General features: G+C 41.1%; 1 protein-coding gene across 17 annotated transcripts in view, besides 3 other annotated features; it reads left to right on the top strand.

Moving 5' to 3' along the window:
• Positions 1–23,936, top strand: part of WIPF1 (WAS/WASL interacting protein family member 1) — a 123,340-nt gene that overhangs the window by 41,781 nt on the left and 57,623 nt on the right. For 3 of the 17 annotated variants that reach the window (NM_001375839.1, NM_003387.5, NM_001375837.1), the window contains exon 1: positions 6,528–6,615. The gene's annotated coding sequence lies outside the window, so the exon portion shown is untranslated. 17 annotated transcript variants of the gene reach the window in all.
• Positions 6,245–6,334: an enhancer, noted in NCBI's record as "active region_16784". NCBI's record gives its function as "activates an Ori minimal core promoter by ATAC-STARR-seq in GM12878 lymphoblastoid cells {active_cell/tissue: GM12878}" and the evidence as "EXISTENCE:reporter gene assay evidence [ECO:0000049][PMID:35858748]".
• Positions 6,345–6,394: an enhancer, noted in NCBI's record as "active region_16783". NCBI's record gives its function as "activates an Ori minimal core promoter by ATAC-STARR-seq in GM12878 lymphoblastoid cells {active_cell/tissue: GM12878}" and the evidence as "EXISTENCE:reporter gene assay evidence [ECO:0000049][PMID:35858748]".
• Positions 8,088–8,227: an enhancer, noted in NCBI's record as "active region_16782". NCBI's record gives its function as "activates an Ori minimal core promoter by ATAC-STARR-seq in GM12878 lymphoblastoid cells {active_cell/tissue: GM12878}" and the evidence as "EXISTENCE:reporter gene assay evidence [ECO:0000049][PMID:35858748]".

The raw sequence follows: 23,936 nt of genomic DNA, 5'->3' as shown, positions 1-23,936 counted from the left end.
TCTTGGCACTTTTGTTGAATGGGAGTTGAGTGTAAGTGCATAAATTTATTTCTGGGCTCTATTCTGTTCTATTGGTCTATGTGTCTGTTTTTATTCTAGTACATGCAGTTTTGGTCACTATAGTTTTGCAGTATATTTTGAAGTCAGATATGCCTTCAGCTTTGTTCTTTTTGCTCAGGATTGCTTTTGCTCTTTTGGATCTTTTATGGTTTCATATGAATTTCAGGATTTGTTTCTGTTTCTGTGAAGAATGTCATTGGTATTTTGATAGGGATTGCATTAAATCTGTAGATTGCTTTGGGTAGGTTGGCCATTTTAACAATATTAATTCTTTAAATTTAAATTCTTTAAATTAAAGAATTAAAATTAAAGCGGGGAGGGATAGCATTAGGAGATATACCTTATGTAAATGACGAGTTAATGGGTGCAGCACACCAACACGGCACGTGTATACATATGTAACAAACCTGCACATTGTGCACATGTACTCTAGAACTTAAAGTATAATAATAATAAATAAATACATACATACATACATAAAAAATATAAAATCCATGTACATGGGATATCTTTTCATATATTTGTGTCCTCTTCAATTTCTTTCATCAAAGTTTTTTTTTTAATTTTATTTTTATTGTACTTTAAGTTTTAGGGTACATGTGCACAATGTGCAGGTTAGTTACATATGTATACGTGTGCCATGCTGGTGTGCTGCACCCATTAACTCATCATTTAGCATTAGGTATATCTCCTAATGCTATCCCTCCCCCCTCCCCCCACCCCACAACAGTCCCCAGAGTGTGATGTTCCCCTTCCTGTGTCCATGTGTTCTCATTGTTCAATTCCCACCTATGAGTGAGAACATCTTTCATCAAAGTTTTATAGTTTTTAGTGTAGACTTCTTTCACCTTGGTTAAGTTCATTGTTAGGTATCTCTTTTTGTAGCTATTGTAAATAGAATTGTCTTCTTGATTTCTTTTATAGATAGTTCACTATTAGCATATAGAAATGCTACTGATTTTTATGCGTTGATTTTGTATCCTGCAACTTTATTGAATTTGTTTATTTGTACTTACAGTTTTTTGGTGGTGTCTTTAGGGTTTTCTATATCTAAGATCATGTCATCTGCAAACAGGGACAATATGATTTTCTCTTTTCCAATTTGGATGCTTCTATTTATTTCTCTTGCCTAATTGCTTTAGATAGGACATGCAGAAGAATGAAACTAGATCCCTACCTTTCATCATATACAAAAATCAACTCAACATAGATTAAAAACATAAGTGTGAAACCTGAAACTGTAAAACTACTAGACAAAACATAGGGAAAATTCTTCTTGACGTTGGTCTGGACAAAATTTAAAAATAAGACCTCAAACGCATAGGCAACAAAGCCAAAATAGACAAATGGGAATACATCAAGCTAAAAAGCTTTTGCACAGCAAAGAAAACTATTCAGAGTGAAGAGATCACCTACCGAATGGGAGAAAATATTTGCAAACCATACATCTGACAAGGGGTTAATATCCAGGCTATATAAGGAACTAATAGCAAAAAAAACCAAAAACAAAAAAACCAAAAACAAATAACTTGATTTAAAACAGGCAAAACTGTAATCCCAGCACTTTGGGAGGATGAGATGGGAGGAGCCCAGGAGTTCGAGACCACCCTAGGTGACAAAGTGAGACTCCGTCTCTACAAAAAATTTAAAAATTAGCCAAGCGTGATGATGCATGCCTCTAATCTCAGCTACTCAAGAGGCCAAGGCAGGAGGATCACTTAAGCCTGAGTTTGAGGCTGCAGTGAGCTATGATCATGCCACAAGACTCCATCCTGGGTGACAGAGCAAGACCCTGTCTCAAAAATAAAAGTGAGCAAAAGACCTTAGTAGACATTTCTCAAAAGAAGACATACAAATGTCCAGCATCACTATTCATCAGGGAAATGCAAATCAAAACCACAGTGAGATATACTTCACTCTATTCAGAATGACTATTGTCAAAAGAACAAAAGGAAACAAGTGTTGGGTTAGGATGTGGAGAAAAGGAAATACTCATCACTGTTGGTGGAACTGTAAACTAGTACAGCCATTATGGAAAATAGTATGGGTCAGGATCTGGAAGAATTTACAAAAAAGAAAAAAGAAACAAATGAACAAAAAACAAAGGAGTATGGAGATTTCTAAAAAATATTAAAAATAGCATGACCATATGATCCAGCAGTCCCACTACTGGATACATATATCCAAAGGATATGAAATCATTATGTTGAAGAGTTATCCGCCCTCCGTGTTTATTGTAGCACTGTTTACAATAGCCAAGATGTGGGAATCTGCGTAAATGTCCAACAAATAAAACGTGGTATATATACACAATAGAATACTATGCAGGCATAAAAATGAATAAACTCCTGTCATTTGTGACAACATGGATGAACCTGGAGGACATCGTATTAAGTGAAATAAGGCAGACACAGAAAGACAGATAACCACATGCTCTCACCCATATGCGGAATCTTAAAAAAAAAAAGGTTGATATCATAGAAGCAGAGAATAGAACAGATGGTTACTAGAGATTGGGGAGGGAGGGGAAGATGGGGTCAACAGGTACAAAGTTACAATTAGACAGGAGGAGTGAATTCTGGTGCACTCTTGCACAGTAGGGAGGCTATGGTTAATGGTAAAATATTGTATTTTATAAAATAGCCAGGAGAGAGGTGTTTGAATGTTCTCATCATAAATAAATAATAAATGCATGAGTTAATGGATATGCTAACTACCCTGATTGGATCATTATACAATATAGATATGTATCAAAATATCACATTGTACCCCATAAATGTGTACAGTTACAATGTCAATTTAAAAAATAAAATTAAATAGACTCCCCTTTTTACTTTATATCAATATCTGTATTTATCTATATTTAGGACTTGATGAGAATTTGTAGCTTGAGTTAAAGTTAGAATATGTTTGGAGTACAATGTATCTTGGGATTTTTTTAATGTCCGCACATGCTACACATCAAACCACTTTAGTCAAAATATTTGTTCAGTGGGAAAAAAAATCAGTGAAAATAAATTACATCTCTTAGTCCAAACAAAAAGTAATTGACTGATCTATTTCCTCCATTCTCAGAAAACTATCAACTATAAGGTATAACATCAAATTAATAACAGGTAAGGAGGAAAAAAAGACATGACATTAAGTGTGCACTTCGATTCCAGGAATGTTAAAAATATGTAGGGGAAAAAACAGTACCAGCACAACCATGCATCTTGGGATTAAGCCAGTGCAGAATTTCACTCACTTGGTATTATGGTGGGTTTTTTTTGTTTTTTGTTTTTTTGAGACGGAGTCTCGCTCCATCGCCCAGGCTGGAGTGCAGTGGCGCAATCTCGACTCACTGCAAGCTCCGCCTCCCGGGTTCACACCGTTCTCCTGCCTCAGCCTCCCAAGTAGCTGGGACTACAGGCACCCGCCACCATGCCCGGCTCATTTTTTGTATTTTTAGTAGAGACGGGGTTTCACCGTGTTAGCCAGCATGGTCTCGATCTCCTGACCTCGTAATCCACCCGCCTAGGCCTCCCAAAGTGCTGGGATTACAGGCGTGAGCCACTGGAATTATGGTGTTTTGCAGCTGGTAGAGGCCAGGTAGGTAGGACTAATTTTATGAATGTAATTAAACAAAATTTTTTATTAATACATATGAGCAGAACTAATTAAAATTGAAGACACATTTCTTAGGCCCATCAGTTTATTTTTGTATTCTTTTGTCAAAACAAAACAAAAAAAGAAACCAAAATCATAAACAGTTGGGGAGGTACTATACATGGTGAGCCTGGAGCATCTTGTAGTGCTGGAAAGTGAGGAAGTACTTAAAAACAAAAAAGAAAAAAAAAATTGATAGGAGTATGTCAAAGGAGCACAGAAACCAATGGTAAGAGCTCCCAGTGGCCGAAGCTGGAACAATTTGAGCAACAGAATAAAGTACTGTTGAATTAAAATGCAAGGCATAAAATAAATATCCATTCAGCCATACTGGTATAAATAAATGATTGAATACATTAATAAATATGTAGAAGAGACATCTTCCATGCAGAAGGATTCCAAATAATTTATATAGACACTCTACCCTGAAGGACTTTCTTCGAAAGAGTATGATATGGAAAGGTGGGGAGAAGCAGGGAGCAACTTTACAGTGGAGAAAACTGACATGCACTGCCTCAGCCAGGTGATCAAGGGCAACACCAGCAGTATTAAATCATGTAGATAGTACATATATCTGATACGATGTGACTAAAATGGCACTTTATCTGTGTGATCCTCCTCCAAATAACCCATAACCCCAGTCTTACCAAGAGAAAAACACCCATTTGTGTGCCCAATTGTGGTACATTCTACAAAATACCAGACCAGTATTTCTCAAAACTGTTATGGTTGTCAAAAACAAGGAAAGCCTGAGAAACCATCACAGCCAAGTGGAGCGTAAGAAACACGACGACTAAATGTAATGTGGAGTCCTGGATGGGCTCCTGGAACAGATAAAGGACAGCAGGTAAGAACTAAGGACATCTGAATAAACTGTGGACTTTAGTTAATAATTATGTATCACTATTGGTTTATTAATTGGTACTTATGTATCATACTAAATTTAAGAAGTTAATAATAGGGGAGACTGGGCGTAGGATTTATGGGAACTCTGTACTGTCTTCTCAGTTTTTCTGTAAATCTGTAACTGTTCTGAAATATAAAGTATATTAAAATTTTTAAATGCCTAACCAGAAAAAAAAAATCATGGACAGAAAGCCAGGTTAGGGATTTTCATGGAAAATTATAAAGCATTTTATTAAGGCCTTTAAAAATTCCACACAGAACACGGCTTAAGCAGAACATATGCAGCTGCTTAGTTGAAAAATGGAACTGGCAGCTTAACCCAGAATGTGAGACTTCTAAATACATTCAAATTGAGTCATCATCATTTTTCATCTATGTAGTATTTTGTTTTTCCAAAGTTCTTACAATTTCTGACTCCAAGATGGCAAAATTGTACCATTATTCCTATGTTAAAGTTAATGCCATGTCTACTATAGCTTGGACAGCCATTTTGACTCAACTGTCTAATCTAAATGTCATTTCAATCAGAAAACCAGCCATCAACTGTCAAAATGGTAAAAACAGTTATGTGTGTTTTCAAAGCCAGAAGTGCAATCATGTGGTGAGACTTCAGGGTTTTACTGTTGTCCACAGTTCTGAGTCCCAGGACTGGTTTCCTTACTCGGTATTCTCCCATGGAAAACTTCATCGGGGAATTATAGGGTAATATTTTCAAGACTTGGAATATGTCTACAGTTACCTTTCTAAAAAACAAACAAAAAAATCCATTTAAAAGCATTTTTTTAAAAATAATCATGCCAGGGTAGCCAAATAGAAGCAACTTTGGGGTTTTTGCAGAGTCAAGTCTTATAAATTGTGGAATATTCCCCTTGGTCCAGGAGATCATTTGACTCCCACACACCACCACTTCCTATATCCACAAATTCCAGTATGTTTGGACCCTCCTGATGGCTGAGAGAATCACAAAAAAAAAAAAAAAAAAAAAAAAACAAACAGAAGGCACCAGTGAGTAGAACAAGAAAGCTAGATATGGTGCCCTTGGGCTTGTTGCTTAGTCCCTGCTCCAGCTCTCCTCCAGCCTCTCTAGCTGTACAGGGCAGAGAGGGTCACAGCCGGCACTCTTCTGGTGCTCTTGTCAGGCCACCATCAGAGCCCCCATGGCCAGGACTCACACGCTGCCAGGAACCCAGCACCATCCTGGAGGAAGATGATGCCCAGCCCTTTCAAGGGAAACCAAAATGCTGGCATATTTTGGAGGTCAGCAGGAGGGAAATGTCTCCCAGTTATTTAGCCCTGGAAGGCTGAGAATACAGTGGTTTTGTTTTCCGAACCAACAATTGGGGCACACTGTCTGACAGCATGACCACATGTGAACTTGAGAGAGTCCCAGGAAATTCAGGGTGTGTAGCCATGGTTGCTGCAGGATCCAGAAATATGAACCAAGGCCTGAGTGTGTTCCCTTGATGTTGGTGCCCTCCAGAGAGGAGTGTGGGGACATCCTGGGTGCAGCACTGTCGAGGGCCCTTCCTCAGCTGCCCTGAGGGTGGCAGTCCCAGGGGCTGTCCTAATGACAGCAGAGCACCCAAGCCCCAGGCTCCTCTGTGAGCGCTCTGCCCCTTCTCAGCTGCTGAACTCCAGTCTCAAGATAGGTGACCCTGGGGCTCAAGACTGTCTCTCCCTTCCCCCTTCAGGTTCCTTTGGAGTCAGGAGTGCCTGGAGTCCAGGCATGACTTCCCCCTGGCTTATCTCCTCTTTACCTGTGTCCTGGGAACACCTGAAAGAAGCTGGGGGAGACAATCATTTCTGCAGACACAGGGTTACCCCCATGTGAAGCAAGCAGCAAATTGATCTTATCACATGCCTCTGACCGGTTAGGGAGGCGAGTCAAAGAAGGTGCAGTGAGGAAGTATAATGTCACATGCAACATTTACAGGAAACTGGCTAGAAGACAGCAGGGGAACTCGAGAAGTTGGTTGTTTTCAGCAGATTAAAACAATACAGGTTAGTGCTTTTTGCCCCCTGGAAAACTTTTCGTAGCCACTCTAAAATACCTAATTCTCTTTCCTTGAACTGTCTTTAACGATTTCTTTAATGTGAAGAACTTGCTTTTTGGCTTTGAATGTAAGAGCCAGCGCACAGCTGTTAACTGCACGTTGTTAGAGGAACAAACGCTGAGCCATTATGGTGAAAATGAAATTCTCAGAATCTCTTGCTTCCCTGTTTAGAACTTCTCTGCTTCTGAAAGAACAAAACTTCGGATGTTCTTTAAATAACTTATTTCGTGGAATTCAGCTAGGCCTCTTGTCATTTTTACCTGTTAATGTAAATGTGAAACGGGACAGATCAGCCTGTGTTTGCAGACATCTGTGGGGCATTCAAAGGGTGTTAGAAAATACAGAAATACTGTGCATAAAAACGTGCTTGCGAGGTTATATGCAAAAGTTTGTTGTTTTGTGGGGTTTTCATCTCATAAAACTCATCTTTTGGCTTGTATTTCATGTTAAAATAGTATGTCATTATAAATTCTTAAGTTTCCTTTTTTTATTTTTTCTACTGTCCTCCTTCCCCCTTTTCTTTCCTTCCTTCTTTTACTAACACAAAACAGGAGTAGAGAAGCAGCAGTAGGGACAGCTTGAATATGAGACGAGGAAATCCTTTTCCCGGCACCAGAGTTTAAGGAGCAGGCACAGCCCAGAGCAAAGCCCAGCAGGCCGTGAAGAGGCCGTGAGGTGTGACGGTTGCCAGAGCTTTATGTCTTCAGCCTTGTGCTTCCTAGAGAAGAGTCTGCAAAAGAGCCAGAAAGACGGCTAGAGGGTTGGGAAGCAGCCGTCCAGAAACATAGAAAGGGCCCAAGATTATTCTTCCTGAGGCCAATGAGGGACAGTTTAATTACGCAGTGGCCTGCTGCTTTCAGACCTGTATGTGGAAAAAGAAAACGTCTCAAATCCAAGTTAAGAGAAGGAAGTTCCTACATTATTGGACTGCTGTGCAGCTCTAGGACAGGTTAGCCAGAGAGGCTGCTGAACTCTTTCTGGGTGTTTTTGGGAAACATACTAGACGGCATCTTTGACTGTGTTATTGTGTTAACTGAGACAGGGAGGATAAGGAGGAGAGGAGAGCAAGATCAGGAACTTCCTGTTTCATGTCTTCATTCTAGCCCAAAGTGTTGTAAAATGTGTCTGTATGATAAACAACGAAGGGGTGAGGGGCTCGTGGACTCAACTTGTTTATATCCTAGTAATGCCAAATAACTAGAACAGTGATGAAAGAGAAAAATCATGGTTGATTCTGTCCTCCAATTGCCACATTTTTTTCATATTTTACCACCAAGTTGTACAAGAAAATGGAGACAAAGCTGACAGAGAATAAGAGAAGATTCTAAGCTGGACATATCAGCCCTAGTGGTTTCAGAAACCCCGTGCTAGCTCTGACAGAGCCAGCCCACATTGTTATCAGGTTTGGAGGGATGGAGGGAAGATTGGATTTATCACTGGTTGGAGCCCTTTGCACAAATGCCTGTAGGAGACACGCACTTGGGAACTGCAGTAGGAAGGCCTCTTGTACCTGGTACTGCCCTTGAGCCCCAGGAAGAGGCTTACAACTTAGCAGTGGCTGGACATCCCTCGAAGGAGCTCTTCTTTCAGTTTTGTTTTGCTTTGTTAGTTGGCTATACAGCCTTGCTGTTTCAGAAGTTTTATATTCTGCAAATCTGCTGCTCACAGTAGAAAGGGACTTTTTATCTTTTTATTTTGTTAGAATACTTTCCAGATGGGCCTGATGTCTTTTTTTTTTTTTTTTTTTTTTTTTTTGAGATGGAGTTTTGCTCTTGTCGCCTAGGTTGAAGTGCAGTGGCACCGTCTCGGCTCACTGCAACCCCTGCCTTCTGAGTTCAAGCAATTCTCCTGCCTCAGCCTCCCAAGCAGCTGGGATTACAGGCATGCATCACCACACGTGGCTAATATTGTATTTTTAGTAGATACGGGGTTTCACCGTGTTGGTCAGGCTGGTCTTGAACTCCTGACCTCAGGTGATCCGCCCGCCTCAGCCTCCCAAAGTGCTGGGATTACAGGTGTGAGCCACTGCACCCAGCTGCCTGATGTCATTTTTGTAAATGCATCCTTCCAAAAGCTGTTTGTATTTCTTCTGGGGGTCCTTATTCTCTCCTATTTCTCAGCCCCTTCCCCATCTTTCCACTTTCACTGCGCTGTGTTCCATTGTGTTTGAGATGCAAAAAATGGCTTATAAAGTGTCATCATTATACAAAACCTCTGATCCCCAGGTTCTGAAAGAACGAGTGGAGACACAGAATGGCAGAAGGTAACAGATCCTGTTGGGTGGTAGAGAGCACCTGGAGTATTAATCTTGTGTGTAATTTTTAGATAGGAATGACTGCCAAGTTGAATACTGAGTTAAGTTTAAAGGTCAAAGTGGAAAGAGATGAAGTCACCTTTAATCTGGAGAAAAAATGGTAAATTTTGTGGGGAGGAACAGTATGGACACATTCCTGAACTCTCTAAATAGAAGAGGAATGAGGCTAACTTCACAAATCTCTCTTCTTCCTCAACATAGGCAGGCCTCTCCTCCCTGAATCCCAGATAATACCAGAGTGGCACTGCGGGTCGACATCCACAGATGTCTGAGTGACCCTGGTTTCAGAGGGATAAAATGGTGATATATACCAAACATTCATGCTAGTGGGGAAAAGAAAGTTAAACTCTGATAAGTGCAACTTTTACAACTGAACTCATCCTTGGTATCGTTTTGAGTTGGCATGAACAAATCTGGAGGCCCAGGTCTCTGGATTTCTCAGAAAGAAGTTCCCGGACATTTGTAAGGTATTATTGTTATCACCATCATATTGGGAAATACTAAGAACTATAGGTTTTGGGGGAGTTTTAATTGTGATAAAGGACACATAACAAAATTTACCATCTTAACCATTAAGATACAGTTCAGTAGCGTTAAGTATATTCATATTGTGCAACCAATCTCCAGAACTCTTTATTTTGCAAAACTGAAACTTAAACCCATTAAACAACAACTCCCCATTCCCTTTCCCCCAGCTCTTGGCAGCCACCATTCTACTTTCTGTCTTTATGAATTTGACTTTTCTAGGTACCTCATATAAGTAGAATTATATAATATTTGTCGTTCTGTTTCTGCTTTATTTCACTTAGCGTAATGTCCTTAAGGTCCGTCCATGTTGTTAGCACGTGTCAAACATTCCTTCCTTTTTAAGGCCAAACATATTTGTATGTATATATCACATTTTCTTTATCCCTTCATTCATCAGTGGACATTTGGGCTGCTTCTACTTTTTCGCTGTTGTGACTAATGCTGCTATGAACGTGGGTTTGCACATATCTTTGAGATCCTGGATTCAGTTCCTTTGGTATGTCCCCAGAAGTGGAATTGCTGAATCATAGGTAATTCTATGTTTGGCTTCTGAGAATTATCCAGCAATTGTGTCTTCTTATACCACTCTTCCTCCCAAAACACAAACTTGAAGATACCTCATATTATAAGATCATTATCATTTTTCTTCAGGAATGCCTCAAACAAAATGTTCATGTCTTGCTTCTGAGCAGTAAGGATGCAGAGGGGACTTGGGCTGTTGTCCCAGGAAAAGGAGCAAGACCAATGGGGCTATTCTGGAGGGGTGACCATGGTAGGTGTTTGGATTACAGATTCTGTGCAAGGAAGTGGTAGGAAAGATGTGATAGACGGCCTGACACAGTGCTGTGTGGTGATTCTTTTGCTGGAGATGTTGTCTCCTAACTAAAATATCATGAATACTAATGTATACTCTGTAACTCTACCAGGGAAGGGATTGCCTATGTGCCTGATTGATTTTTTACTCTGCCATTTCAATTTCCCTCTATTTCGTCATCAGTCAGAAGGTTGGTGCTGTTTAAAGGGGAAAAAAAAGCTCTAAGTGTCCCCTTCTCCCAAAAAAAGGAACCAGAAAATGACAAGAAGAGTTGCATTTGTCTATGAAAGTGCATAGAAAGCTTTTCCTGGAAAAGAATAAACTGGGAAAAGATGAGTCCTTGAAGTAGAACCCTGTCATAGTGCAACAAACTGAATTTAAGAGGCATCTGTTCCCAGCTTATACAACATCCAGTACCAGTTCCACAGTAGGTATTCACATTACCACTCAGATTGTTATTTCTCAATGCTAATGAGAAGCTACTGCTTTGAGACTGTCTAACTAGCTAGACACTTACCAGACTTTGTTTTGATATTTTCTGGTATGAATTAGGCTTCCTTTCTAGTTGCGTTCATGCCCAGATTTTAATATGACATATTTTAAGTTAACTCATTGTATTGTTTTGTAACCTAGAGTGGCTTAAAAACAGAGTCATTTGTTATAGTAGGATATGTGTTCGCACACACAAATATACGTGTGTGTATGTGTGTGTGTATAATGGGAGGAATTCTCTAGAGCATATGTTTCCTAAATTAGAAGTCACTAAGTGATATCTTGGAGCCTACAATTATTTGGAATACTGCTATCTTCAGACTAGGAAGTTATGCATGTATTATACATAGAGATTCATTTGGGGGGTTTGCTAGTAAACTGTAATTCTTTCAGTAAGTCACTGCTTTACTGAATGGTGAAGATTTGGAATGTCTTCTTTGATTTCCAGGCCAACAATGGATAGATTTGGTCGTCCTTGAAGCATTTAGAGACCTGTAGAATGAACTTAACTTCTGAAAACTGGGTGCGGGGCCAATAGAGGGGCTGCTCAATACCTCACCAGCCTGCTACGCGGAAGGCTAGATGGAGGGCTGCTAAAGGAAGAGAACTGCTGTTCCACCTCCGCCTCCTCCCTGCAGTGTGGCTTCTTAGGCAAGTCCCAGTTTAGAAGTCATCTAACTAAGTGAACATTCTTGAACTGCCACCAGACCTCTCCTAAAACTTTTTTCTAAGCAAACAATATATGCTTTCAGACTTTCTCTTCTTCCCTCTTCTTTTCCCCTTCTCTCCACTCCCTACTTTCGCCTCTGCCATTTCATGCCCATCACCTTGTGAAAGCTCAGGGCAGAATTTACCTACATGGACAGCATGCTTCCTTCCCTGGCCCTGTCTCTGAGCTTTTTATTCCTCTTCCCCAGAGCATTTAATAGCCTTCCCTGCAAAACAGAGGAAAGTCAAGGCTGATGAGCATAGTTATCAGAATAAAACTGTTTAAGAGGTTTTATGTAAGAAAAATAATTTGGAAAATAACAATGTTTTTTATAAGATCCTGATGAATCAGGAAGGATAAATAGTTTACTTTTTTTTGATAGAGAGAGACTCACTATGTTGCCGAACTCCATCTGGAGTGCAGTTGCTATTCACAGGTACAGTCATGGCACACTGCAGTCTCGAACCCCTAGGCTCAAGCAATTCTCCTGCCTCAGCCTCTCTATGTTTTAAAGACTTCCTTTAAGGGTCCATAAGGAGGTAGCTGTAAGGGAAGGGGAACTAAAAAGGCCAGAGGATAATTTTCTCTAAAAGGCAAAAATGTTAGGTTATTCAAAAACTATTTTTTTCCTCTACTTCAGTGCCAGGAACATCTGGCCTCAGGAAAAGTTTAGGAAAGATGCTGTTGTCATCATTTAAATCTTAAAGAGGTAGGAAAAAAATAATCTTGGATTTTTTACAACTAGAAGGGACCTTAGAGAGTTATATCCTTTTATTTTTAGATTTGGAAACTAAGGCCCAGAGAGATTAGGTGATTTGTCTATGGTCAAAGTAGCTCATTAATGATGGTAGAGGGTGCAGAACAAGGCCCCTGGCTACACACTGGTGACATAAGGGGGAAATGTTGAAGGGCCCCAAGGACTTGGGAATCTGAAAGTAGGTGCACCTCTGGGATCTACAGAGGCCAGATCTGTGCCTAATGGGAGTAGAGTAACAGATTGAAGATTTGAGGAACTTCCAGAACTCCAGCAAAGTGAGCTCTACGTAATTCCTGGAAGACAGCACAGCCATATGGTTGGAATTTTGTGGGTAGAAAGCTAATCCATCCTACCTGGAGAAAGGTTGTGGGCAATGAACTGGTCCTCATGGAGCAGAGAGGAAAAATTTCCAATGGTTGCCCAGTATTGGCCTGGAAAATAGGTCCTGAATCTTGTGGACATGAGTGTGGATTGGTAAGTATGGATGAAGATCTTTTGTGAAGTGTCTGTTGTGATGCATTATCAGGGCTCACCACGGCATGGATTAAGCAGTCCTCAGAAGGGTTAGCCATCCTTAGCACTGATTCCAACACCCCTGAACCACATTCTGAATGCTAAGTCAACTTCCTGGGTACCATTAGCTCAGAAAGGTATATTCTGGACAATGGACATGGTCACTGGAAAGAAATGGCATTTTTTTGTAGATTCCGGGGTGCCCAGCAGCCTCTTGTGAATTTTTACTCAGACATTCTGAGTCTGATCCCTCTGGCTCCCAGATAAAAGGGAGATGTGGGGACCTCTATGATAACGCTCTGTGCTTGATGTAGTGTTCTACCCCTCCCCAAGAATGCCACTCTTAGGGGTCTTTTCAGGGTAAACAGCAGCCTCTCCTAAGTGTCAGGCTTACTTTGTTGTTGCTCCTCTTCAAAATGCCACAAACATTATTAAAATTAAAAAATGAGATGTAATACATGGGTCCTGCTATTAGAAATCACAAGGCCTGGCCAGGTGTGATGTCTCATGCATGTAATCCCAGGACTCTAGGAGGCCGAGATGGCCTTGAGGATTGCTTGAGCCAGGAGTTCGAGACCAGCCTGGGCAACGTAGGAAGACCCCATCTCTACAAAAAATTAAAAATTAGCCAGGTTTGGTGGCATTCACCTGTGGTTCCAGCTAATCAGGAGGCTGAGGCAGGGGGATCACTTGAGCCCAGCAGGTCAAGGTCAAGGCTGCAGTGAGCCATGATCACACCACTGCACTCCAGCCTGGGTAACAGAGGAAGACTGTCTCAAAAAAAAAAAAGAAAGAGAAAGAAAGAGAGAAGGAGGGAGGGAAGGAAGGAAGGAAGGGAGGAAGGAAGGGAGGGAAAAAGAGAGAAAGAAAGAGAAAGGAAGAAAGAAAGGAAAGAAAGAGAAAGGAAAGAAAGAAGGAAAGAAGAAAAGAAAAAGAAAAGAAAATCATAAGACCTTTTTTTGGACACTGGATGTTTTCAAAGTTTTTTCTCTTTGTTTTTCTTGTTTGGCATTTTCCCTTAATTCAGATTTATTTATTAAGTATCTTCCATGTGGATCTTATATTCAAGTTAAAAGATGTGGACAAAAAACAATAAATCTAAAAAATACTAGGTGATGTATATTAGGAATTTAGAAGGGATACATGCTGTGGAGAAAGAAGTCTAGCGGGGCTAGGAGGAGCAGAGCACAGTGGTGGAGGATGGGTGTAGGTGAGCTGGTAAGGGCAGCTGTCATGGAGAAAATGGTGAGATAATTCACCATGTAGCCACATGGGGAAAGCCTGAGGACGCAGAAGCGGAACATGCCTGGAGTATTCAAGGAGTAACATGGAGCCAGTAATTTGGAGGTGAGATCCTGGAGGGCCATGTTGGTCATGGTAGGACTCTGGCTTTCCCCCCAGAGTCTGGGAGTGAGGGGAGGATTTTGATCCAAAAAGAGACAATGATCTGACTTTAAATTTAACAGCTCCCTTTGGCCACTGTATTGAGAATAGACTGTGGGAGCACAAGAGTGGAAGAGAAGGACCAGTTAGGAGGCTATTGAAATACTCCAGTGAGACATGCTGGTGCCATGGACAAGGGTTAGCAGTAAAGATGTTGAGGAGTAATTAGAGTCTGGTTATTTTGAAGGTAGAACCAGCAAGATTGGCAGTTGGATTGAAAAATAATAAGCAAAAGAGAGGAGTTAAGGAAAATAGGAAGTGGCCTAAGTGTAGTAAGAATAGAAATGCCATCAGACTGAGATGGGGCGGGCTGTGAGTACAGCAATTTGGGGTGGAGGGGAGATACTAAGACTTTTGTTTGGGATATAGTGAGTTTGAAATGTCTATGAGACAGACAGCCAAGTGGAGATGTCAAGTGGGCAGTTGGATATGTGTGTCTGAATATAGGAGTTAGAATCCTAGAAAAAAGTCATCTTTCTTAATGGTCTTGGTTTAATATCACTCCTAAATTCATCTGTAGCTTCTAAAACTTCCATTAAAAACATGGAATGTGACTCTGCATAGTGATGTGTTCACTGGTTTGATTTCTGGGACTGAAATCAGAGAGAGAATGTTCTTTTGGGTAAACAGAAGTGAAGAATCAGGATTCTTGTTTCGAACTTTGCTTCTTATTGCTTAAAACTTAATGATTCCATAATTCTTATTTTAAGAAAAAGAAGTTTTTTTAAACAAAATGAGCAAAAGCAATACCTTAACAAATCAAGCTTTCCTCTGCTTTTATGTCAAGGTAGTTGAGAGTATTGTGAGACGGTTATAATTTTTATGTTTATGTAAATGTCATCTTAAATATAATTGAAATTGCTTTTTGTCATTGAAACAGATATTATGTAGTTTTACAAATTTTAATGAATTAAACTATGCCGTCTTCCTGTAGAAAAGGAGATACCGCTGGCCCTCCATATTCACAAGCTCTGCATCTGTGGGTTCAGCCAACTATGGATCGAAATATGCAACTTCAAATTATCTTCATTCAGGAAGGAGAACCCTGAGTTCTTCTGGGTTGGATCTAAGCATGTAAGACTATTGAGTTACATTTGACTTCTGAAGTCACTTTTTGTCTTTACTTTTTAGTCAGCTTGTGAAAGCAAAAAGCATCTTATTTTTAAAATACCTATGTTAGTACCCTGGAATAACACTGGCATTTCCTAGCCCAAACTGAGACTAAAAGTTTTGAATTAATCTTTCCCTCAACTTACAAGAAAACAGTTATCAAATTTGTCTTTAAATTATCTCATTGGACCCTCCACCAGCCTATGAGGCAGGCACTCCCATGAGCCCCATTGACAGAGGTGGAAATTGCCTCAGAGAGGTGAAGTGAAGTGGTGATGCATTCCACAGAGCTGGAATTCAGACCCAGGTCTATGTGCATCCAGAGCCCCCCAGCCTGCTTTCCAGAAGCATGGAGTAAAGTAAAACAAACCCGGGCATTTCAGTGAAATAATGCAGACCAAGAGGTCATGCAGAATGATCTCCTTTGTGATAAGCCTAAAACCTGAGACCTCATTCAGAAAGCTGAGGAAGTTGCTAAACCAATCCTCGAAGTGAGGGGATTCATGAGCCAAGTCTTTTCTTAGGCCTGTATCCTGTACAGTGGTGAGGCTACTCGGGTGGTATGACACCTGTGGACTGAGAACATGCCCTCCATCAAACCCACAAGGAAACTTCCACTCAACCCTCAGTTGCACAGAAGCCCATTGATGCCAGCCGGCAGCAGCTGTCCCTGGCTGCTCCCAGAAAGTGCCTGGTAACTGGGAGACTGCCAGCCAGCCGCCCCAAGGAGACCTGAGTGAGGGGTTCTGCAAGCCTTGGAAGTGGTCCAGGACCTTAAGGCTCTGGCCTGAGCTCAGGGCTCAGAAAAATGGACAGGGCTCTGTCCCCATAGTGCCAGTTGTCAGAACGCTGTAGGGCGATGGGGTCAGCTTCCACACCAGTAGCCTTCCATGGGGGCCCTTGGGAGCAGCAGCCCCAACCCCCCTCCACAGTGAATATTCAATCTTGTGTGCACTGGTGCAGACATCCTGGGTATTAAAATAATGAGATGCCTAAAAACCAGTTGGCGAATTGTCATCACCCTCAGCCCCCTGAGCACACCCCCAGAACCCCTAAGACTTCTCCCATAATTCAACAACTAAAGGATGAATGCCAGCACAGCACAGGGTGCCCCTGGACCCTGCTCCAGCATCTTATGTTGTCCTAATTGGTTAGTGCCTGTGCCTCATTGGTTGTTAAATATTTTGAATATCACCCAATTTCCACCCAAGTGAGATGAAACATGGAAGGCATTTCTCTGAACAGGTGATGACAAATTTGGATTGGCGTCTAGGAGGGGAAAATTGAAACCTATAATTGTGTCCCTAGTTCACTGGTTCTCTGATAGGGGCCTGTCGATAGCATCCCAGGCTGTTTTTCACTAGCGAGAAGAAAAATACCTGCAGTGGTTATGACTGGAAAGGTAATAAGCAGAGGTCAGCCCAGCCCCTAGAAACACAACTTTGATTAATGTTTTCAGAGGGCCCCAAGTTTAAGAAGATTTGAATTTTGCGGGAAGACTTCTCCTCCACTCACTTTCTGCTCTAGTCCTACCTGTCATTAGAAATGTGGTTATTACATCTAACCATGGCTTGTTTGCTCCCATAGTTCAGTTGGTGACCACCTGCCCAGAGGAGATGAAAGGTTCATTATTAGTTGAGCTCCACTAATTCTGATTTATTAGTGCCAAACACTTGCCTTTTGCAGCTGTGAGGGAAGTTTTCAAAGTTGATCTATTTCTGAGCTGCACTAGCAGTACCACATGTTTTTTTTTTCTTTTTTTAAGAATCTTTCACAAACACAGTAAATGCCCACAGATGGTGGATTCCAGGGGTATGTGAGGAATCCCTGTGCCCATCCACAAAGCACCAGACTGATTTTTCAGATGGTGCAAGATAGACTGCATCCTTTAACACAGGGGTTTTTTCTGTGTTAATATTTAACACATTTCATTCACCAAAAGTGAATTATTAAATCCAGTGCATATTCAGGAGGAGGGACTTATGCCAAGGCATGAATTTCAGCAGGTGGAGATCACTGGGGACCATCTTATAAGCTGCCTGCCACAAAATGAAATAAAATATCTATGAGCTCTATTGGTGATGGTGTCACAGTGCTGTTAATGCTACTGCAGTTTGTTGGCTACATTCATAATCAAAGAAATGCAAAATTTCAGCTAGAGGTTAGTGAAAAAGAGGTACTATTTTTCCCATCTAGTTCATAGACTGAGATTTGGGTATAAAAAGACGGTGGCTTCTTTCTTAGGAGCTTTCTCTCACTCTCTTGCTCACTCTCAGGGAAGCCAGCTACCGTGTTAAGAGCTGCCTTATAGAGAGATGCATGTGCAGAGAACTGAGGGAGACCTGTAACCAACAGCCAGTCAGGAAATGAATCCTGCCAACAACATGTGAGTGAACTTGGAAGCAGTTTCTCCCCCAAACTTTCAGATGGGAACACAGCCCCAGCTGACACCTTGAGTGCAGTCTTGTGATAGACTTTGAGCCAGAGGTACCCAGCCAAGCTGTGCCCAAATCTCTGACCCACAGAAACTGTGATAAAGTAAATGTTTATTGGTTTCAGCTACTTAGTTCTGGGCTAATTTATTACACAACAATAGACTAACTAATACACACTACAATTTCAGATATCTTTTAATATTGTTTATATGTATTACCATTTGAAATTATAGTAATTATTAGACTAGCCACTAGATCTTGTTATTTAATACACTAAGAAGCACTTATGTTAATATATAACACATTTGTTTTAAACCATTTTGGTACTACGCATCCCCATCATTGAAATTTACCAACTCTTATTTCTTAAAGTCTTTGGGCTTTAAGATAATTCATAATTGAAAATCATTTTGTTAACAACAACAAATAGAACACCTCTTAGGAGGGCATTATGGTAGGTGTTGTAGTTGCCTCTGCCTTGTGATGTTTATAGGTAAAAGCTCAAATCCCAGACTTGGCAGCTCTGTAACCTCTGGAAAATCAAAACAAAGACTGTGTACCCACAAAAATTAAAAACAAAAATAAAAATTGTTAAGAATTTCCTTATAGTTAATACAGGTTGCCATATAAAATTTCTGACCGCGGGGCAGACACAAGTGCTAATCAGCCAGAATAAATGCAAGCCTGAAAGACAACCAGTGGGTAGCAGTGACCATCAGCCTGCTCATAGGAGAGTGGGGATTCGGTGAGTTAGGATAGGCGCACCCCACGGAGCACTGGCGGCATAGAGAGGGGATCCTATAGTGTTACGTTCCTTTCCCTTCCCCAAGAACAGTGTTTTCAAAGTTTGATAATCATACCACAGGTGGTTTGTGAGGTGATTTTAGGAGACATGGATAAACGTTCTTTATTTAAATATGTATTTGTTTTAATGTGTAGTAGAAAAAATGTACAACAACATATGAAATTCATGATTTCATGGATATAGTTACTTAGGATGACACTAAATATGTCTTTAGATTTTTTTAGGTTAGTTGAGTTAAATAAAAATATTAAACAAATCATATAGTTTTGGTGGTATGCAGGCATGACAAAATTATGAAGTTAGTTTGCAAATATTTGAAGTTTAGGAACAACAGCCTTAGGAAATTTATCAGGAGACCAGATATATATCCACATTAAGAGATAACAAATTCATGGCTCTAAATTCAGTCAGGTTGCTGTCAGGGTATTTAATAACCTAAAAGGCAACATTTAGAGGAAATGATTTTCTATGCTTCATGTCTCCTAAACTTCCAACAGCATGTAACACTGCCCCTTTGCACTCCCTCTGAGAAGGGAGGGTGGGGTGGGCAGTGATTTGGAGGGCCCAGCGGGCTTCCTCATTGTTCTCTCATCAGTAAAATTAAATTCCATTTAATTTAATTCCACAAATTTCAAGGGTTAAAAAAGTTCATGTTGGTGCCTAATCACCCTGGTAGGCTACTGTGTAGTCCTGCACAGTCCAAAGCAGGGGCCATTTGAAATGTGGCTAGTCCAAATTGAGATGGCCTGGGTCATGAGTGGAAAATTCACATTGGATTTTAAATACTTAGTATGAAAGGACAATATAAAATATCTCGTTAGTAATTTTTATATTAATGTTGAAATGATATTGTAAATACATTAGGTTAAATAAAATATATTCTTAAAATTAATGTCACCTGTTTTCCACATCACTTTTTTAATGTGGCTATTAGAAAATTGCAAAATATGCATGGGGCTTGCATTGTATTTTTAGTGGACAGTGCTGTTCTACCTATATACAGACAAGAGGAAGTATCCAAGTGTGTGGGCGATGGGGGTGGAGGGGAGGGGGAGATTGGTAGGAGAGTTGTAGCTGTATACTAATTATTCAGATCTATGACTCTGCTTATACCTCTCCTGATCTCCAGAGTTGTATTTTCATTCGCTTTCTGGATATTTCATTCACTTTCTGATACCTCACTCGATCTCAAGCTCAATGTGTACAAATCCCTTTCATCCAAAACCTGGCCTTCCTCCTTCATTGCCTGTCTCATTAATGACACCCACACATCTAATTAGTCTCTATGTCTTATTATTTCTTTCTAATATATATTACTCAAACTCATCTCCTCTTTCATATTTATTCTGCCTCTCTCTAATTTAAGCCTGCAACCTGGTTGTCTGTACCAACACAGATAAAGCTCCTGCCTTCAGAGTCTCCAGTCCTTCCCCGTACTGCCATTAGAATGAGCTTGGTAATGCGCCACTTTGACCATGGCATCGCTGCTTAAACAGCTTACATGAGTCCTAACACCTCCAGGCGAAGTCCAAACTCCTGAACACTGCCTGATCCCAGACCACCTTTCCAGCCTCATCTCCCACCAGCACTAATTTTCCCAGGCTGCTGTGTTTAGCCACATGTGACAGCAGCCTTCTCCAGTGGGCCCTGCCCCTCCACTCCTTATTCTTCTTATTTTATCTTAATCCACTTCTTCCCCTGCTTTCAAGCACAGGCACAGCTCACGTGCCTCTGTGAAGCCTTCCATGTTCATTGCTCCGGCACCCCCACGGCATCATGTGCACCCCGTTACTGCCCAGTCACACTCACTGTGATGATTTGCTCACATGTCCCTAAAATGAATCCCTCTTTTCTTACCTTGGTACTCTGCCCCCTTTTACTACAGCACCTAGCACAGGGTCTGGCCATAGTATAGACCTAGTAAATGTTGGCTGGATGAGAGGATAATGGGTATGTGCTGAATATTTTAATGGTCCTAGGAAAAAAATTATTTGTAGATTTTAGCAGAGATCTTGAAAATAAAGTAGTAACTAGGTGTGAATTTTTACTTTTGTCTATAAAATAACTTTTTCTAACTTGGTACTATGAAGATAAAATAGAGTTTAGAACAACTGTAGTTTCTTTTTCAAATATATTCTTGTGCAGTTTTTTTCCTTATACTTTCACCCCGGTAACAATGGCTTGTTGCTTCCATTAGGTTAATGAAGGAATCTGTTCTAAAGAAATGAATCACAGGGCAAGACACCTAGATTCTAGTTGCAAGTCAAGTATATTACCCAGGTCATTTAACTTCTCTGAGTTTTGGTTACCTTAGATATTCACTGAAGCTGTTTACTCAGTGATCTCTGATTTCCATTTCTGAAATTCTAAAGCATTTTAAGGCGTCAGTGGTCTCAACATTGGAGACTGTAGGTTATAGGCTTTTGCTCTTAATAAACACGCAAATGGCCCTTTGACATTTTATTAAGGAGCATAGAGTTTAAATGTATGCATTATTCTGACCCATTCAAGAAATCAAATTAAGATAAAGGTTTTCTAAACCTGCAGCATTCATTGTTGTCAAGGGTATGGTGAATGGAGATTTCTTTTTTTTTTTTTTTCTTGAGACAGAGTCTTGCCCTGTGGCCCAGGCTGGAGTGCAGTGGCGCAGTCATGGCTTCTTGCAACGTCGACGTCCTGGGCTCAAGTGGTCCTCCTGCCTCAGCTTCCCAAGTAACTGGGACTACAGGCAGACACCACTACACCTGGCTAATTTTTTAATTTATTGTAGAGACAGGGTCTTACTGTACTGTCAGGCTGGTCTCAAACTCCTGAGCTCAAGTGATCCTCCCACCTTGGCCTCCCAAAGTGCTGGGATTACAGGTGTGAGCCACCATGCCCAGACCCTGGAGCTTTTATGTAGCCAAAGGGGGTCTAGGCCTTCCCCGAAGGCCATCTGCACTGTGTATCAAGTGAACTTAAATTGTTCAAACTCTTTGATCCAATACTTCTGTTTCTATAATTTATTCTATAGCATAATCCTACCTGTGCACAAGGATTTGTGTATAAAGATATTGACATTAGCACAATTATAAAAGCAAAGTAAGAGATAGCTAGATGACTATTTTTGAGAAAGGGTCTCACTGTGACACACAGGCTGGCGTGCAATGGTACAATCACTGCAACGTCGTCCTCCTGGACTCAAGTGATCACTTAATGTTAAGTGTTAAATAAATAAGTGATTAAGTAAATGTTAAATAAATGAATATAATGCAGTCATTAAAAGTCATGCTTTCAAAGAATATTTAGTGGCATGAAAGGATAACAAAAACTGGATTCAAAACTACATTCATGCTTTGGAGGCTGAGGTGGGAGGATTGCTTGAGCCCAAGAGTTTGAGACCAGCCTGGGCAACATAGTGTGACCCCGTATCTAAAAAAAAGAAACAGCTGGGCATGGTGGCATGCGTCTGTGGTCCCAGCTACTCAGGAGGCTGAGGTAGGAGGATCACTTGAGTCCAGGAGGTTGAGGTTGCAGTGATTCCACCACTGTCTGCCAGCCTGTGTGTCACAGTGAGACCCTTTCTCAAAAACTCTGTGTGCGTGTGTGTGTGTGTATGTGTCAGTTAATAAGATTCATAATGAGTGGAGCCAAGGAAAATGCTAATTGTGAGACAATAGAAGAGTAAAAGACCCTCTGTAGGGCCTCTTTAATAGGAGGGGCTTTATTGTAAAGATGGGCAATAAAGGAGACAGGAGACTCAGGACTAGCCCCACAGGGAGGCACAGACTGAGCAGAGGCATGAAGCCAGACCACTTGAGCTTAAATTATGTCTCTGCCACTTATAAGCTCTGTGGCCTTGGTCAAATAACTTAACTTGTCTGTTCATCAGCATCAGCAGCACCCAGATGTATCTTACAGGGTTGTGAGAATTGAATGAGTTGATAATACTTATAAAAGCACCTAGAACACTCCTTAGCACATAATCAGAGCTCAGTACATGCTCATTGTTACTGTTGTTATTACTGTTAGTATTAATATTATTAGAATTATTGGGACTAGGATGTGGTTCAGGTACCTGAAAAGCCACAGTGCACCCTCAGTTCCAGGAGATGGCAGATCTCCCCTCCTCTCTTAAGTCCACTGATTGACTGGCTCAGCTGTCCATTTTTGCCTGCTCTTGTTTCCCTAGTGCTAACTGCCTGCCCCTCCTTGATCCTCAGTTCATACTTCTGAGACAAGGAAGGACATGAGTTGCCTCGTGCATTACCTTTTCCTTGTCTGTGCCGAGCTTTTCAGGACAGACCAGCTCACAGCCTGCTCTCCAGCCTGAGGCCTGGCTGGCCTGGTCCAGTTGACCATGGTTGGGGTGAGCCCAGCTCTAGTTGATCTCAGAAGGGGAATGTGGGCACAAAGGAAGGTCTTTTAATTATGGGATTTTCAATTATTCTGGAAAGAGGACTTGAAGAGTATAAAAGAAAGGTTAAAATAACCCTGCTGAAGTGGCAAGATGACCTTTGTCATTTCCCACCTAGCATACCAATTCGATTCCTTTTCAAAGCCTTATTAGTTACCGTTAAAATCCACAAAGGAAATTGTGTGACTAAGAACTGTGGAAATGAAAGGAAACCTCAAAGGCCTTTATTGAACCTCTGCCTTTCCAGACCACACCCTTTCCACCTCTGCATCAGGTCACATTGCAGTTTGTCTACTTTCTGATATCTTTATTCACTTCTTTCCATTCATGGACTGGCCAAGAAAATACAATACGATATTTAAACTACACAGAGAGATGCTGAGGGCCTCCTAATAATTTACTATGGCTGGGTGAGACCTTTGGGAAATGCTAATGGAGAACATCACCACCACAGGGTGCGCGTTCCAACCAACCGCACTTCCTTCTTGCTCTGATGCTGCCATGGACTCAACTTTTCACCACTCCCTGTGTCCACAAGGTGATCAGAACAATGACATTTCACTCCCTGGAAGTCAATCCATTGCTACTTGAAGACCACACCAGCACTTGAGTCATGACTGATAGAAATTACCATTTGCTCCGATGCCTATAGCTCAGTATTAAGCAGACAGCAGGTAGATGAACATGTACGAGGGGTCTGTGCTCACAGGCTTTGTAACATCATCATTCTTTCTGGGCTGTCTCTCTTTTCCAGATGCCTATGATTTGGTATTTCTCCTGGCCAGAGAGTAGCACTGGAAACATTGAACACAAAGTATTCTAACCCTTATTGCTCAATGTGTTTTTCCAGAGCAGCCCAAAAGGTTATGCTGGGTTTCATGAGCTGCAGAGGATGACTGACTGGTGCCACCTAGAAAGACAAACAGCAGAAACTGCAGAGCTTGGACTGAGC

Source organism: Homo sapiens, chromosome 2 (assembly GCF_000001405.40).
Source record: "Homo sapiens chromosome 2, GRCh38.p14 Primary Assembly".
In the NCBI taxonomy this organism is placed as follows: Eukaryota; Metazoa; Chordata; class Mammalia; order Primates; family Hominidae; genus Homo; species Homo sapiens.
The sequence above is the reverse complement of the archived record's forward strand: the minus strand, read 5'-3'. Positions and strand labels throughout refer to the sequence as shown.